This window comes from Homo sapiens, chromosome X, assembly GCF_000001405.40.
Source record: "Homo sapiens chromosome X, GRCh38.p14 Primary Assembly".
NCBI lineage: Eukaryota > Metazoa > Chordata > Mammalia > Primates > Hominidae > Homo > Homo sapiens.
The window spans coordinates 74,103,241-74,120,577 of record NC_000023.11 but is presented as its reverse complement, the minus strand read 5'-3'; the positions used below and the strand labels follow the sequence as shown (position 1 = coordinate 74,120,577).

General features: G+C 38.9%; 1 long non-coding RNA gene and 1 pseudogene across 1 annotated transcript in view; one reads left to right on the top strand and one right to left on the bottom strand.

Moving 5' to 3' along the window:
- Window positions 1-17,337, top strand: part of FTX (FTX transcript, XIST regulator) — a 265,439-nt gene that overhangs the window by 172,997 nt on the left and 75,105 nt on the right. The window lies entirely within an intron of this gene.
- UHRF2P1 (ubiquitin like with PHD and ring finger domains 2 pseudogene 1) lies at window positions 11,760-15,299 on the bottom strand (annotated as a pseudogene).

The window sequence follows — 17,337 nt, the reverse complement described above, 5'->3', positions numbered from 1 at the left end:
TCTGGTGGTGACACAACATTCACATTTTTCATGGTGCCAGAATTTTTGTGTGGGTTCTTTCTCCTTTGGAGATAACTGGCATTTCTAATTTTTGTAATTATTTTCCTATAGATACAATTCCCCCCCTTTCAATCTGTATATTATTGTTTTTTCTTCTTCTTTCCCTTTCTCCTCCTTGACAGAGGATGTGACTATAGAGTATGTTGGAGAGGGTCTTTTGGCTTTACTTCCATATTGATACATAATTCTGTCAGCAGGTTTCATATTGGGCTGTGTAGTTCAACCTACATGCTGGTATATGGTGTTAAAGCAAACTAAATATGGCCTGAGAAGGACTCTGTACTTCTATATTTGAGTCCTTGTGGATGAACTGTAACCTAGCTTAATAGGCAGACAAAATGGAAAACCTAACTTAGTAGTATGCACTTGTAACAATAGCTAAGCCTTAGCCAATCCCAGCGGCCATACTTTAACCATTCATATACTGCTGAGTGTTCAAACTATGTTCAAAGAAGGCATACATTGAGCTGTAACCAGTCCAGCTGTTCTGTACCTCACTTCCAATTTCTGTATGTCATGTCCCTTTTTTTGTCTATAAATCTTCCACTATGTGGCTGCACTGGAGTCTTTGTGAATCTGCTGTGATTCTAGGGGCTGCCCAATTCACAAATTGTTCATTGCTAAATTAAACTTTTAAAAATATAATTCAACTGAAGTTTTTCTTTTATCAATGGTTTTATGGTTCAGAGCTAGTGGTTGTACAACAGATGGATATGTAACTGATCTTTGTTTACTGTGAGGTGCTCTGTGTTGTTTCAGCTAATGGGCTGAAGCATGAAGTTCTCTGTGACATGTGCTTCCTGTTCTGTGGGGGTAGGGGGACACAGCTAGGCAGAGCTGGAACTTCTGGCTTACCCTCAAATACTCCTATGTCAAGTGCAGGCACCAGCCCTAATGGAGGTGGCTAGGAGTGTGAGGAGCTCCTAATGAAATGTGCTGAAGTTTTTGTGTGGGACTGTGGGGCGCTGCACAAGCCCCTTGTCGTAAAGAGACAAGAATATGAACTGTTGCCTTATCACAACCCGGTTCCAGAGCTCATGACTCTTAGATGAGTCACATACTGTAGTCTGTCTCTGGGCCACAGTGTGGCTGAGAGCCTTGGGGACTGCTTAATTCGTGACTCTCCATGGGAGTGGTTTTGGGGCAGAACTTCATCACTCAGCCTAATTAATATAAATAGCTTCACAGCTTCCCTGTTCTCCAATGTGATATCATTACTTCTTTGTGTAAAAGGGGGTGAGTCTGCCTTTGGGTCTGTGTGTTGGTTATGGCGATATCAGCTGGTTGTGTCAGTTGGACCTCAGGCTCTGAGGGAAGTGGTCAGATGTCAGCAGAATTTGAATGGGGTAGGTAGTTCTCTAACTCCCCAGCCCCTAGATTGCTGGCTGAACATCATGTATGAGTCCTGATGGAGCTAGGTTGGGGTGGGGGGTGGGGTTCCTCAGGTGCTGGTCGTGATGGTAAGGGGCAGTCTGGTCCCTGGGTCACTGGCTGAACTCTTAGGTAGGGTTAGGCAGAGCACTTAGGCAGTGAGAGCCTAAGGGAAGATCACAGGCTTGTGGGGGTAAGGATTTTAGTAGGGCTCTGGACCACAGATGAAATAGTCATGTAGGGATTGAGTAGGTACACTGGAAGCCAGAAGGCATCAAACCCCATTTGGGAGGGTGCCCTGGTGGTGGTGGGTCACGCAGGAAGCATTCTGGCTGCCTCTGCAGGGTAGCTGCTGGTATGCTGGAGGCTTGCATAAGGGCTCAGGCTTTTTGTTTCCTCCCCAGCCTGGGGGCAGTAAGGGTGGGGACTGTGGTGGCTGCAACCACACCTCTCAGTTGCCTCAGGGAGCTCCACCCCAGAAAAATGCAGAGCCACAGCTGATCAGAGTGATCATGTCTGGGCTGGGCAGCTATCCTATGGGCCCCAGCAGTGTGGGGCCCAAGCAGTTAAGGGCAAGGGGAGCCTGCTTGCCGAAGAGCAGGGCGAGAGATGGTTCTTGTGTAAATAAGTCTGTCCTCTTTCTACATAGGGTAGATGCACAGGTGCTATGTGCTGGAGGTGTCAGTGAAAGCAATCAGGCTCTTCGTTCCCTCCCTAGCCTGTGGGCAGCAAGGGCGGGTACCCTGGCCCCAGCAATGGAAGAAGGCCTGTGAGTTTCTTCTGGGAGCTCCACCCCAGAGAAATGCTGAGCCAAGACTGGCCCGAGTGCTCAGGAGATGGTGGAATGGCTGCGCTGCAGGCCCCATTTGGGAGGCCCTGTCATGTGAGGAGCTGCAGAGATGGGGCCTGCAGTCCGTCTGCTTCTCATCACTGTGGATGCAATCTCTATCCTAGGGGCATGTGAAAGAGCCCGTCCTTCCTTGTTGGCAGGTCTATGCAAGCTGGTGCCTGGGTGCTCAGTGATCCAAGGTCCTTGGGGCTTCACATGACCTTGAGTGACGGCTCTGCCCAGACTCCAGGTGTTTCTTTGTGTCAGTCTGGAGGCCTGGGGGGTTGGGAGGATCTCCCATTCCTAGGATTGCAAAGGTCAATGGAGGAATTGTGGGTCCCTGGGGCTCTTCCTCACTCACCCTTTCCCTGTGGTAGTGAGCTTCCACTGCCTCTGCGCCAGTTCCAGGTGGGTGGCTGCTCTGCTTCATTCCTCTCTGTTCTCCATGGGTCCCGTTGCTTCTGTTACGAGTCCCAATGCGTTCTCGTGGATGATCCATTTGAAGAACTAGTGTTTACTAGCCATTCTGTTTCTTCTTCATGAGAGCAGAGCGCACTACCTGCTTCTAGTCAGCCATCTTTATTCTCTACTATTATATCCCACTTTTATTATTTTTGATATGAATACATATATTTTTTTATTGTGGTAAAAAGCATATAACATAAAATTTACCATTTTATTCATTTTTAAGTGTAGAGTTCAGTACTGTTAAGTATATTCACTTTTTCGTGAAATAAATATAAAGGTATAAATTTTAAATTTAATGTTTTTTTCTACTTATTCACTGAGTTGAATTATTATCTGAATTAGTTTTATCATTGATTCTTTGAAATTTTCCAGATATACTATTATTATTAACCACATTTATATCTGTATTTCTTCTGTCTTCCCTGATTGCATTTGAATAATACCTCTAATATAATGTTAAATTAGAGCAGAAATAGTGGGCATTTTTGTCTTGATCTTATTGAAAATGCTTTTAGTATTTCTCCATTCAATTAGACACTGGATTTAGGACTAAGGTATGAGTATTTTATTATGTTAAAAATATCGCTTATTTCTTACTATCTTGGATGTCTTTTTACATTTAACATGGATGGGCGTTTTCTCCAATTGTTTTTGCCGTATCTGTGGGGATAGTAATAATTTTCCTCTTAGATCTATTAATATTGTTTATGATATAAATGAATTTCCTAATATTAAACCTACCTTGAAATTTTGCTATAAATCCAATTTGCTAATGATGTATTATTTTCTTCACATCTTGTTAGATTCTGTTTACAAGTATCTTATTTAGTTTTTTTGCATCGACTTTTCTGACTGACATTGGTCTACAATTGTTTTAATACTGTCCTTATCTAGCTTAAGTGTGTGTTATACTTGGTACATGAAAGGAGTTACAATATTTTTCTTCTTTTTCAAGAAGAAGTTTGATGTTTTGGTAGAAGTCTCATGTGAAACAACTGCACCGGTTGCTTTTTTTTGTGAACTAGTTTCTTAATAACTTTATTTCTTCTATGAAATTGTTCTGTTTAAACATTTTAACTCTAATGGATTCAATTTTGGCAGTCTGTATTTTATTAAAAGATTATTTATCTTCTCCAGGCTTTCAAATTTATTTGCATAGAGGTCTAAAAAATATTGTAATTTTATTATTATTTTTTGTTTCAATAGTTATTTCCTCCTGAATATTTCTTGGTTTGTTAGTGCATTCTCCTACTTCTCCTGAACAAATTATCTAGTGATTTGTCAATTTTCTTAATCTTTTCAACAAACCAGGAATTTTGTTTATTAGTTTAATTAATTTATTTTAAAGGTCTCCTACCTTACTGATTTCTGCTTTATTATTTCCCTTTGCTTATTTTGATTTACTTTATTGTCCTTTTATTCAGTTTTTGATGCTTGGAATTTAATTAATATATTTTCAATCTTTGCTTTTTTATTGATTAAAGTGTTTAGTTCAATGAATTTTCCTCTGAGCACTGCTTTACATACATCCCATAGATGCTGATATGTAGTGGGTTTTTTGTTATTATAATTTATTAACTTCTGTCATTGTAGTTTGCATTTCCCCTTGCACACACTAAACTTGTTTAATGGGATGTTTTAAATTTCCAGGTGGAAGAATCTTTCTGGGTGTTTTTGTTTTGTTTTTGTTAGTAATATCTTGTTTTATTGCATTATCACCTGTATTGTTTATAATATTTATATTTTATAAAATTGCAGATTATTTTGCTGATCAATTGATCAATATTTGTAAATGGATCATGAGCCCATATACTACTCTAATACTCATGCAAATATTCTCTATTAGGAGCATGTATAGTTTAATATATATCCCTAACATTTACCCTAAGGATTATGTTGTCTATCTTTTTTCTCTCCTTAGTCATTTTTTCCCCTAATTGATCTGTCATGAACTGAGAGTGATGTATTAAGGTCTCCAATTATTAACATATTCTATCTATATTATTGACCCTCATTAGGTTTTACTTTATCAAGGTGGTTGCTGTTTTTGATGCATAGACATTCATAAGTTATATACCTTGATTGTTAATTGTGGCTTATAGCATTTAAGATTGATATTTGTTATGATTAATGCCTTTGGGCTTGAATTCTACTTTGCCTGATATCAGGTAACTATTACTACTTTCATTTTGCTTCAATTTGTCTACTGTTTTCTTGTTCATTACTGTATTTTTAGCCTTCTAAAACACTTCTTTCACGTATGTTTCTTGCATATAATATATGATTGGATCTTATTTTATAAGTCAAGTTGTAGAGCTTTGTATTTTAGAAAGGTAAGCCTATTTACATTTATTGATATGACTTGTAGATTTAGATACAAATCTGTTATTTTATACTATGGCTAATTTGATGTATTTGCTATGTTTGTCTCTATGAAAGCTGTAGCCTGTGTTTTTAAATATATATGTTTTCATATTTGGAAGGTTTTTCTTTTTGTCCTAATGATTAATTTTATATATGCCTTTCTTAATGCCTTAGTACTCTGTTTCTCATTTAAACTTTAGGAATTTTGTCTGTTTCTTTTTTTAAACTTTTAATGCCGATTTATTGCCTCTAATACAAAGAGCTTTTTCTACTTTCTTCTTTTTCCCATCTTAGTGCATTATTTCCACTTTGCCACAATATATAAGATCTGTACATTAGTTTTATCACTGTTTATGCCTTGGTTTTATTCTTTTATATATATATATATATATGTATACACACATGCACACATATTATATAAAATATATATATACACACACACAAAATATTGAAATAGTCTCCATAGTATATGAAATATATTTTTTGAACTTTATTGAGATATAATTGACAAATGAAATTGTGTAAATTTAAGGTTTCAATTTGATGATTAGATATATGTATATGTTGTGAGATGATTTCTGCACCCAAGTTAGTTACCATTCTGTCACCTCACTCAGTTAACATATTTTTGTGTGTGTGGTATGAACATTTAAGGACTACTTTCTTAGCACATTTCAAGGGTACAGTACAATATTGTTAAGTATAGTCACCATACTGTACATTTGATCTCCAGAATTTATTCATCTTATATCTAAAAGTGTGTGCCCTTTGACCGACATCTCCCAATTTCCCTCACACCCAGCCCCTAGTAATCACCGTTCTACACTGTTTCTCTGAGTTCCATTATTTTAGATTCCAAATATAAGTGAGATCATACCTCATTTGTCTTTCCCTGTCTGACATCTCTCACCTTGCATAATGCCCTCGAGACTCATCCATGTTGTCACAAATGGCAGGATTTCATTCTTGTTTATGGCTGATTAATATCCCATTTTGTATATATAGCCAAAACATGGAAACAATCTAAATGTCTGTTGACAGATGAATGGATAAGTAATTGTAACAATTACTGTCAACAGACACAGGTTGTTTCCTTGTCTTGGCTATTGTGAATAATGCTGCAATAAACATGGGAATGCAGATATCCCTTTGAGCTACTGATTTTGTCCAATAAATATATACCCAGAAGTGGGATTGCTGGATAATATGGTGGTTCTATTTTCATTTTTTTTAGGAAGCTCCGTACTGTTTTCCTTAATGGTTGTGCCAGTTTATGTTCCAATCAACCATGCACAAGAATTCCATTTTATTCAGATTTTGCCAAAAATAGTTATATCTTGTCTTTTTAATAAAAACCATCCTGACAGGTGTGAGGCAATAGCTCATTATGGTTTTGATTTGCATTTTCCTGATGAATAGGGTTGTTGAGCACCTTTTCATATACCTGTTGGCCATTTGTATGTCTTCCTTAGAAAATGTCTATTGAGGTAATATGACCATTTAAAAATCAGATTATTGATTTTTTTTTTGCCATTGAGTTGTAGGAGTTACTTATGTTATAAGCATATTAACCCCTTATTAGATATAAGGTTTGAAAATATCCTCTTCTATTCTGTCAGTAGTCTTTTCATTTTTTTGAATGTTTCCCTTGCTGTGCAGAATCTTTTAGAGTTTGATGTATTCTCATTTATTTGTGTTCTTGTTGCTTGTGCTTTTGGTGTCATATCCAAAAAATTATTGCCAAAATTAATGCCATGAAGGTTCCCCCCATGTTTGATTCCAGTAGTTTCATAGTTTTAAGTCTTATGTTTAAGCCTTTAATACATTCCAAGTTAATTTTTGTGAGGAGTGTAAAATAGGGATCCCGTTTTATTTTATTTTTGCATGTGTATATCCAGCTGTCCTTAAACCATTTATTGAAGAGACTGTCCTTTTCTAATTGTGTATTCCTGGAAACTTAAACTTAACTCAGATATTAGTTGATATGGTTAGTCTATTTCTGGGCTTTCAGTTCTGTTGCATTGGTGTAGGTATCTGTTTTTATGCCTGTGCTACATTGTTTGGATTTCTATAGCTTTGCAAAATAGTTTAAAATCAGTAAGTGCAATGCCTCCACCTTTGCTGTTCTTTCTCAATATGCATTAGCTATTTGGGATCTTTATAATTCCATATACATTTTAGGATTGTTTTTTCTATTTCTGTAAAAAATGTCACTCAGATTTTGATAGAGATTGCATTTAATCTGCAGGTTGCTTTGGGTAGTATGGACATTTTAACAATATTAATTTTTCTGATCCACGATCATGGGATATGTTTCCATTTATTTGTGACTTCTTCCATTTCTTTCATTAATGAATGTTTTATGCTTTTCATTATGCAAATTGTTTGCCTTCTTGATTAAATTTATTCCTAGCCTTTTAATGTTGATTTTGATGCTATTTTAAGTGGGATTGTTTTATTTATTTTTCTGATAGTTTGTTGTTAGTGTATAGGCAATTCTAATTTTTGAATGTTGATTTTGTATCCTGTATCTGTATTAAATTTGTTGTTAATTCTGAAAGTTTTTGGTGGAGTCTTATAGTGTTTTTATATATAAGACCTGACATCTTCAAACAGAGCAATTTTACTTTCCTTTCCTATTTGGCTATATTTTTTCTAATTGATACATAATAGTTGTAGTATTTGAGAGGTACATGTGATATTTTGATACATGCAAAAGTGTGTAATGATTAAATCAGGGTGATTGGTATATCCATGGCCTCAAATATTTATCTCTTTTTTTACAGTTGAGAATATTCTAATTCTTCTTTTCTAGCTATTTTGAACTATACAATAAATTGTTAACTAGAGTCACCCTACTGTACTATTGAATGCTGTATCTTATTTCTTCTATTTAATTGTATTTTTGTACTTATTAACCAACCTTTCTTCACTGCTCCCTCCCCCTATGCTTGCCTGACTCTGGAAGCCATCAGTCAACTCTCTACCTCCATGAGATCCTTTTTTTTTTTTTTAGCTCCTACATATGAATGAGAACATATGCTATTTGTCTTTCTGTGCCTAGCTTATTTCACTCAATATAATGACCTCTTATTCCAAGTTCCTGAAAATAATAATTTTATTCTTTTAGAGGGATGAATAATATTTCACTGTATATGTACCACATTTTCTTTATCCATTCATCCATTGATGAATACATAAGTTGATTCCATACATTGGCTATTGTGAGTAGTGCCACAATAAACATGGAAGTACAAATAGTTATTTGATATACTGATTTCCTTTCCTTTGGATAAATACCCAGTACTTGGATTGCTGTATCATATGCAAAAAACTAAAAGTTTTACTTTTAGTTTTTTGAGAAGTCTGCATACTGTTTTCCATAATGGCTGTACTATTTACACTCCTACCAACAGTGTATAAGAGTTCCCTTTACTCATCATCCTTGCCAGCATTGCTAATTTTTGTCTTTCTGATAATAGCTATTTTTTTTTTTTTTGAGACTGAGTTTCACTCTTGTTACCCAGACTGAAGTGCAATGGTGCAATCTCGGCTCACCACAACCTCCACCTCCCAGGTTCAAGCAATTCTCCTGCCTCAGCCTTCCGAGTAGCTGGGATTACAGGCATACACCACCATGCCAGGCTAATTTTTTGTAGTTTTAGTAGAGACGGGGTTTCTCCATGTTGGTCAGGCTGGTCTCGAAGTCCCGACCTCAGGTGATCCGCCCACCTCGGCCTCCCAAAGTGCTGAGATTACAGACATGAGCCACTGCTCCCAGCCTTGCTAATAGCTATTCTAATTAAGGTGAGATGATGTCTTCTTATGCTTTTAATTTGCATGTTCCTGATGATTATTGATGTTGAGCATTTTTTTCATATACCTGTTGGCCATTTGTATGTCTTCTTTCAAGAAATGTCAAAATCCTATGCCCACTTCTTAATGGGATTATTTGTTTTTGTTTTGTTTTGTTTTGTTTTTTGTTTGCTGTTGAGTTATTTAGGTTCCTTGTGTATTTTGAATGTTAGCCCCTTGTCAGATGAATAGTTTGCAAATATTTTCTCCCATTCAACAGGTTGTCTATTCACTCTGTTGATTGTTTCCTTTGCTGTGCTGAAGCTTTTTAGTTTAATATAGTCCCATTTGTCTATTTTTATTTTTGTTACCTGTGCTTTTGAGGTCTTAGTAATAAAATCTTTGCCTAGACAAATATCTGAAGTGTTTCTTCTAGGTTTTCTTCTAGTATTTCTATAGTTTGGGGTCTTTCATTTAAGTCTTTAATTCATTTTGAGTTGATTTTTGTATATGATGAGAGAGAGGAGTTTAGTTTCATTCTTTTCTGTGGATATTTAGTTTCTTCAGCATCATTTATTGAAGAGAGTGTTATTTACCCAATGTATGTTCTTGACACCTTTGACAAAAATCAGTTGGCTGTAAATATATGAGTTTATTTCTGGGTTCTCTTTTTTGTTTCATTGGTAGTTGTGTTTGTTTTTATACCAATACCATGCTGTTTTGGTTAATATAGCCTTGTAATATATTTTAAGTCCGGTAGCATGATGCCTCCAGCTTTGTTCTTTTAATTCAGGATCACTTTGGCCATTTGAGATCTTTTTTGGTTTCATACAAATTTTAGAATTCTTTTTCTCTATTTCTGTGAAAAAATGTCACTGGTATTTTGATAGGGATTGCATTGAATCTATAATTACTTTTTGATTCATGAGCATAGGATATCTTTCCATTTGTATCCTGTTTAATTTCTTTTACCAGTGTTTTTTAGTTTGTCTTGTAGAGGTCATTCATCTTCTTGGTTAAATTTATTCCTAAGTATTTTTTTTCATCTATTGCAAGTCGTTTTCTTGATTTTTTTTTCAACTAGATTGTTATTGGTGTGTCAAAATGCTACTGACTTATGTAGGTGGATTTTGTATCTAGAAATGTTACTATACTTATTATCACATCTAAGAGTTTTTGGTGGAGTCTTTAAATTTGTATAAATATAAGATCATGTAATCTGCAAAGATGGACAATTTGACTTCCTCTTTTCCAATTTGTATGACTTTTATTTCTTTCTCTTGCCTGATTACTTTGGCTAGGACTTCCAGGACTATTTTGAATAGGAGTGCTGAAAGTGCGCATCCTTATCTAATTCCAGTTTATAGAAAAAAGACTTTCAGCTTTTCCCCATTTGGTATAATGATAGCTGTGGACTTGTCATATATGCCTTTATTATGTTGAGGTATGTTTCTTCCATGCCTAGTTTGCTGCATGTTTTTATCAGGAAGGGATGTAGAATATTATCAAATGCTTTTTCTGTTTCTATTTAGATGATCATGTGTTTTTGTCTGTAATTCTATTGATGTGAATATCATGTTTATTGATTTGCATATCTCAAACCAATCTTTCATCCAATGAATGAATTCTATTTGATCATAATGAATTAGCTTTTTGCCATGCTGTTGGATTTGGTTTGCAAGCATTTTGCTAAGTATTTCTATGTTTATATTCATCCAGGGATATTGGCCTGTAGTTTTCTTTTTTTCATTGTGTCTTTGCCAGATTTTGGTTTCAGGGTAATGCTGCCCTTCAGAGAATTAGTTAGGGAAGAGTCCTTCCTATTCTGTATTTTGGAATAGTTTCAGTAGAATTGGTACCAGCTCTTCTCTGTGTGTCTGGTGGAATTTGGCTGTGAGTCCATCTGGTTCAGGGCTTTTTTTGGTTAGTAGGTTTTTTTAATTACTGATTCAATTTGAGAACTTGATATTGGTCTGTTCAGGATTTCAATTTCTTCCTGATTCAGTCTTGGGAGATTTTGTGTCTTCAGGAATTTATTTATTTCCTCTAGGTTTTCTAGGTTGTGTGCATAGAGGTGTTCATAGTTTCTGAGTATCTTTTATATTTCTGGGGGGTAGGTTATAATGCCAGCCTTGTCATTTCTGATTGTGCTTATTTGAATCTTCTCTCTTTTTCCTTTGTTAGTCTAGCTAATGGTGTTTATCCTTTTAAAGAAGAAACTTTTGGTTTTGTTGATCTTTTGTATGAATTTTTGGGTCTCAATTTCCTTCAATTCTGCTCTGATTTTAGTTATTTCTTTTCTTCTGCTAGCTTTGGAGGTAGTTTGTTCTTGTTTTTTTAGTTCCTCTGGAAACTAGAGGTTAGTTTATCAAAACTAGAGTTTCAGTTTAGCTAAAGTTTTGATGTTAGATAGTTGATTTGAGATTTTTTTTAGTTTCTCTATAGGTTACTGGGGTACGGATGGTATTTGGTTACATGTGTAAATTCTTTAATGGTGCTTTGTGAGATTTTGGTGCACTCATCTCCCAAGCAGTATACAACACACTCTATCTGTAGTCTTTTATCCCTTGCCCCTCTCCCACCCTTCCCCACAAGTCCCCAAAGTCCATTGTATCATTCTTATGCCTTTGCATCAGATTGATTTTTTTATGAGGTATTTATCTCTTCCTTCATTTTTCTGGACTGCTTTAGAAGTTTCTTTATGTTGATTTTCAACTTTGTCTTAGATCTCATTGAGCTTCTTTGCAATCCATACTTTGAATTCTTTATCTGTCATTTCTGAGTGTCCATTTTGGTAGGGACCATTGCTGAAGAGCTAGTGAAGTTCTTTGGTTGCATCACTACATTCAGATTTTTGATGGTGCCAGCATTTTTTTTCTGCTCATAAAATATTTACTAAGGTATACTTTAGGGAATATAGTAAGTATAAAATTTAGGATCACAATATAAAGCAATTTCAAATCCTCTCAAAGGTCAAAACTCTGCAGATGTAAAACCGCTGTGGAGACATTAAAAGCAGTTCGACTAGTACAGAAGTGGATTTTCATGAACATTTACAACTAGAGCATATGAATACCTTTCAAGTGCAAAAACATACCACATTACACTAATGCAGCAACAATACATTCATTATTGTTCTCATTAGCCATTAGTAGTCAACTTGCATAAAACACCAGAAAAAAGCACAGTGGAGTTCACAAAGTGGTCAAAAAAATGAACCTGTCCTTGCAACACACACATTGTAATGGAAGAAGAGATGTTAAAAGAGTATATGCACACTATAGAAGCTGTGTTCATTCCAAGGATCTCAAGTGTCATTTCCTTTTCTGTAAAATCAAATTACATGAACCAGGCACAATTAATATTTGGGAGGCAGTGTGTAGCTAAAATTTCATTTAACTGGTTATTCAATGATTTTTTAAATCTCCATGAATCTTTTCTGTCCTGAGGTAGTTGCAAAATAAATCATAACTTGGATATCATCTAGAGCTGGGGCTTTGACTTTTTACTCATTAAAACTAGTTGTTACAGGAACTACCTTTAGATATTTAAAAGACAGTTGAGAAATGGGCCTCTTACTACACACAAAGATGATGGCTATGTGGGAAAGAGAATTAGCTGCTTCAGAACATGAGAGATACTGTACACCATTCCACCCTCCCCACCCATTTTAGATTCTTTATTGTCCAAAAACCCACCATGAACAACCCAGTGAAAGCAGACAGATCATCATCCTTTGCTGTAGCCAGGGAAGAAAAGGTCTAGTAGAGTCTGCAGAATCTCATGGGGAATTATGACATAATTCTGGCCAAGATCATGCCAGCAAGCAGGGCAGGAGAAAACCTATGCCTTAAAGGAGCACTGTTGGCAATTTTTACAGACATTCTGGAAGCACTCAGTTGTCACAGGCTGGTAAACTAGCTTCTGGCAGCAAACACACATAAAAGATTGTTCCAATTTTTTCAGAAAATTTGGTCCTTCCACAAGATATGCAAGCACTTCATCCCACAGCTTCTGGTTTTGACAGTCTTCTCTGATGAGATGTTGCTGTTGAGGAGTTAGTTGAAAAGCCTCAATTGCTCCTGCTGAATCTGATGCTTTGTATACTTTGGAGGCACTTAGACATTTGAAATCGGCCTTTTTGTGGTTCCACTGGCCTGCTTCTTTGACTGTCCTTTAGTCTTCTTCCTTTCTTTATCTGAAGGGTAACCTGCTGGATACTGTAAATGTAGACATAATCTCCTTGACCATTCTATTCCTTCAGAGGTCCAAGGAGCAGGTTCAACATCATCTCTTCTTAAAAGATAGCGCCAAATCAAGAGTCCATGGCTTGATGAAATCTCTGGCCAGTATTTCACTACCTTATAAATGCCATCATATCTGTTGCCTTCTTCAGGAGCATATTTGCTGATCTTCCTCCCTTTAAAACTGCATATCACTCTGACTGGCTTACCAGCTCTCCAATTCCAAGACTCTGCTCCAATTTTATCACCCAATGTAGCATCACAGTTTAGGGCCAATGCCCTGTTTGTGTTTGTTAATGTTTGATCAGCTGAAGGTGTGCCAATTCTTTTATTACCAGCAAGCTTTTTACCACCACTTCCAGTGTACAAGAACTCATCACCTCGGTCAACTTTATCCACAAATCCACCAACCAAGACAAGAGAATAAACTCCATCATTACTTCGACCATGAAGTCCACCAACATGGGGTCTGTGAACACCTACTTCACTCACCTGAACTCTAAATCTCCAAGTTGATCCAACAGGAATAGGTCCATAATGATTAGAAGAGACAATAGTGCATTCTGTCATATGACCAACACAAGCCATTCTCCTGCACCAGTCTCTCTGGCTTTCAGTACTAGCGGATGGCATCTTTGCTTTCTTTTCACTCATCTCGAGTCTTTCACCAGCCTTTACAACTTAACTGGAATCAGTTTTACAGGAAGAACAATACCAGTATTCCTCTTCTGGGACTTTATCCAAAGGTGTATTCAAGCAGTAAATATGATAAGCCGCATTACATTCATCACATAGAAGCTGCATGTTGGGTTCATGTTTCCCACCATATACATGAAAGAAGCAAGAATGGCATTTCTTATCTGGGTCTCCACCACACAGGTCATATTCAGAGTTATTTCTCCTTAAAAACTTTACATCTGCAAACGAAAGAGGATAGGCTCCAGGTTTCTCAGTCTTGAAGATTTCATCTACAGATATTATTTTGCACTCATTTAATGCCCCTTCAGAACCCCCCCACACCCAGGAAAATTTTCACACGAAGTTCATTTTTGGTCCTGGAGATTGCCTTCAATGTGGTAATTTCTGCATCAAACAGAATCCTCTTTGTCTAGGACTTTCTACATTATAATTAACCATTACCACATCACCAACATTTAGTTCCTTTCATTTCAAAATGGTTCTAGCTCATGGTCTAAGGTTCTTGCCATTCATTTCTAGAGTACCACTTTCTGGGTATTCATCATACTGGATATGGTAAATAACGTCTTCATCGGCAGCGACAGAGTCTGAATTAGATGTAGAGAGTACATTGTCCAATTTATTTATGTTCTCTTTGATTTATGATGTATATTTCCATTAGTCCTTTTACAAGAACTGCCATTCTTCAGTGGAGTTTTGCCACGTGACTGTCCATCAGAAGCTCTAGCAACACTAGGTATGTGTGCTTGAAACCAAGCACCAAGGCCAACATCTCTGGCATCCACCAATTCATTTACCTTATATAGTCCAAAGCTAGGATCAGTAAGATGGGCACGAGCTGATGTAGGTGGCTGACTGGAAGGTCCCACCCTTGGAGCTTTCTTTGCTTTAGGTGGACTATCAGAACAGGGTTTAGCCTCAATCTGTGTAGATGTTCCAGGAAGATGATTAGGGTCTGGGCAAACTAGCAGCTGAATTATATCATTCAGTCCAACATCCTAGTCAAATAAGGCATATCCATTTTCAAACTGCTTGCCCCGGTAGAAGAGGTGCTGGCACTCGGGCCGCACGTCGAACAGCACCCACATCTGCTCCGCAGCTCCTCAATCGTGGCTTTGTGAGACACGTCCTCTGTGGTGCACGTCTTGGAGCCGTGATGGGAACCTGGATCCACATCTTGGCGTTGGGAGAGGAGCCGGTCCCATTTGTCTCCCGCTGCGCTCGAGGCGCCGCGCCCCGCCCGGTCCACGCCGCTTCCCCTGCGGCTACGGCCCTCCGCGGCAGGCGGGCGAGCGCACGCACTGTACCGACCCGGACTGACGCCGGGCCCGACAGGCGGTGGCAGCTCTCATCCCGCTTGCCAGGCCGCCAAGCTGAGAGATAACCGGAACCACTCCGAGTCGCTGCTGCAGCCACCGCCTCAAAAATAGAAAGAGGCCATGCTTGTGCCTTGCGGAGTGTTTACTTATAGAGCTGAATCTCCCTCATGGAGGTCAGGGTGCCAACCAGATCTCTGGTGCCAGCAATTTTACACTGGTTCTTTCTCACCCAGAGACGCTTGAACCTCTAATTTTTATAATTATTTTTTGTTCAGGTAGGATTTTTTTTCTTTTTTACCCTCTGATATTTTTTATTCTTTTCCTTTCTCTTTTTCTCCCTCCCTAGGGGGTGTGACTGTAGAAAATGCTGGGTAAGGTCTTTTGGCTTTTCTTCTATAGCCTTATGCACTCTGCCATCAGGTTCTATATTGGGCTGTACAGTTTAACCTACAAGCCAGAACATGCTGCTTACGGGCAAGAGCCAGCTGTGGTCAACATGGATGAGTATATACTTCATCCTTATTTACTGAAAGAAGTTCTCTGTTCCCTCAGGCAATGGGCTGATTCATGGAGTGCTCAGTGGTCTAAGTTCTCTGCTCAGCCCCAGGGGGATGGGGGCCAATATAGGTGGGGCTTGACTGGGCAGGTCTGCCCAAAGTTCTCCTAATGGCAGGCAGAAGCACCAGTACTGAGGGAGAATCTAGTGGGTGGCCAACAAGCACTTAGAGCTGTGCCTGGGTGTGGAGCTGGGAAACCTCAGACCCAAGTTCTCTGGATGAGGATGGGTGCTGACCGAAATTCTTAATCCAGAAGTGTGGGTACTTCAGATTCCTGGAGATCTGCCTCAGGGTGGAGCAGAGAGGCCTCCGCTCCACCAAGATCTCTGCACAGCAGGGGTGGAGTGACTCAGGCTGCTGAACCAGGCAAGCAGATACTTTTGAATGCCTGGAGATGTGCCTGGGTATGAAGCAGAGAGGGCCTCCCTGCACATGGATCTCTGCACAGAAAGGGTGGGGCAACTCAGGCTACCAATCTGGACAAGAAGATCCTTGAATGCCTGGAGATATACCTTGGCGTGGAGCAGAGGGGGCGTCCCTGCACCAGGATCTCTGCACAGAAAGTATGGAGTGGGTCAGGTTGCTGATCCATGTGAGCAGGTGCTCTGAATGCCTAGAGATCTTCTTGTGTGTGGAATGGAGAGAGTCTTACTTCACCATGATTTATGCCCAGGAAGAATAGGGTGGCTCAGGCTGCTGAACCAGGTGAACATGTGCTCCAAATGCCTGGAGATCTGCCTGGGCATGAATTGGAGAGAGCCCCCCATACTATGATCTCTGCATAGGAAGTGTGGAGCAACTCAGGCTGCTAGTCCAGGTGAGCAGGTGCTCCAAATGCCTGGAGATCTGCCTATGTGTGGAGCTTAGAGGATTCCACTATGCCACAATCTATGCACAAGAAGAGTGTGGCAGCTGAAGCTACTGATCCAGACAAGGAGATTCTCCAAATACTTGGAGATCTACCTGTGTATGGAGCTTAGAGGGCCCTACTGCACCATGATCTATGTCTATGTCCATGAAGGGTGGGACAGCTCAGGCTGCTGCTCCAAATACCTTGATTTCTTCCTGAGGGTGGGGCAGAGAGGGTCCTGTTGTACCATAATCTCAGAGGAGTAGGCTGGGGCACCCAGCAGTAACACATGCAGACCAGTTCCAGGTTGCCAACCTGGGCCTAGCTGCAAGTCTTGTTGCCCAGGAGAAACCACAGCTGTAGCCGCTCTCCTCCTCTCCTAAGGCTGCTACGGGGGAGAGCACCATTCCAGTGCCTACTGCTGAGGCACTTTCCTCAGTTCTGGCTTTGGAGGCCTGTACCCCACTCCAGAGCAGGTGTTCCAATCTCTGGCCTGAGACTAAAAGGCCTGCATGACCATGCAGCTGCATCACCAAAGAATGGATGACTTTGTATGTACCCAGATTAAAAATGGCATCCTGTTCTTAGTACAGGGTCTAAGAAAATGTCGGCAGCTTTTCCTGGTGTCTTTCCCTCACAATATTTCCAAGCCTGTCTCCAAGTTAGCACCAGGGCTTGGGAGAAACAGTATGCTCAGTAGGCCTGGGTTGCTCAGGTCCCCAGTGGAAAGGCGAGTCACAGAGGGCAGCTCTCTTCCTCTTTCACATACTCGGGCTTCACT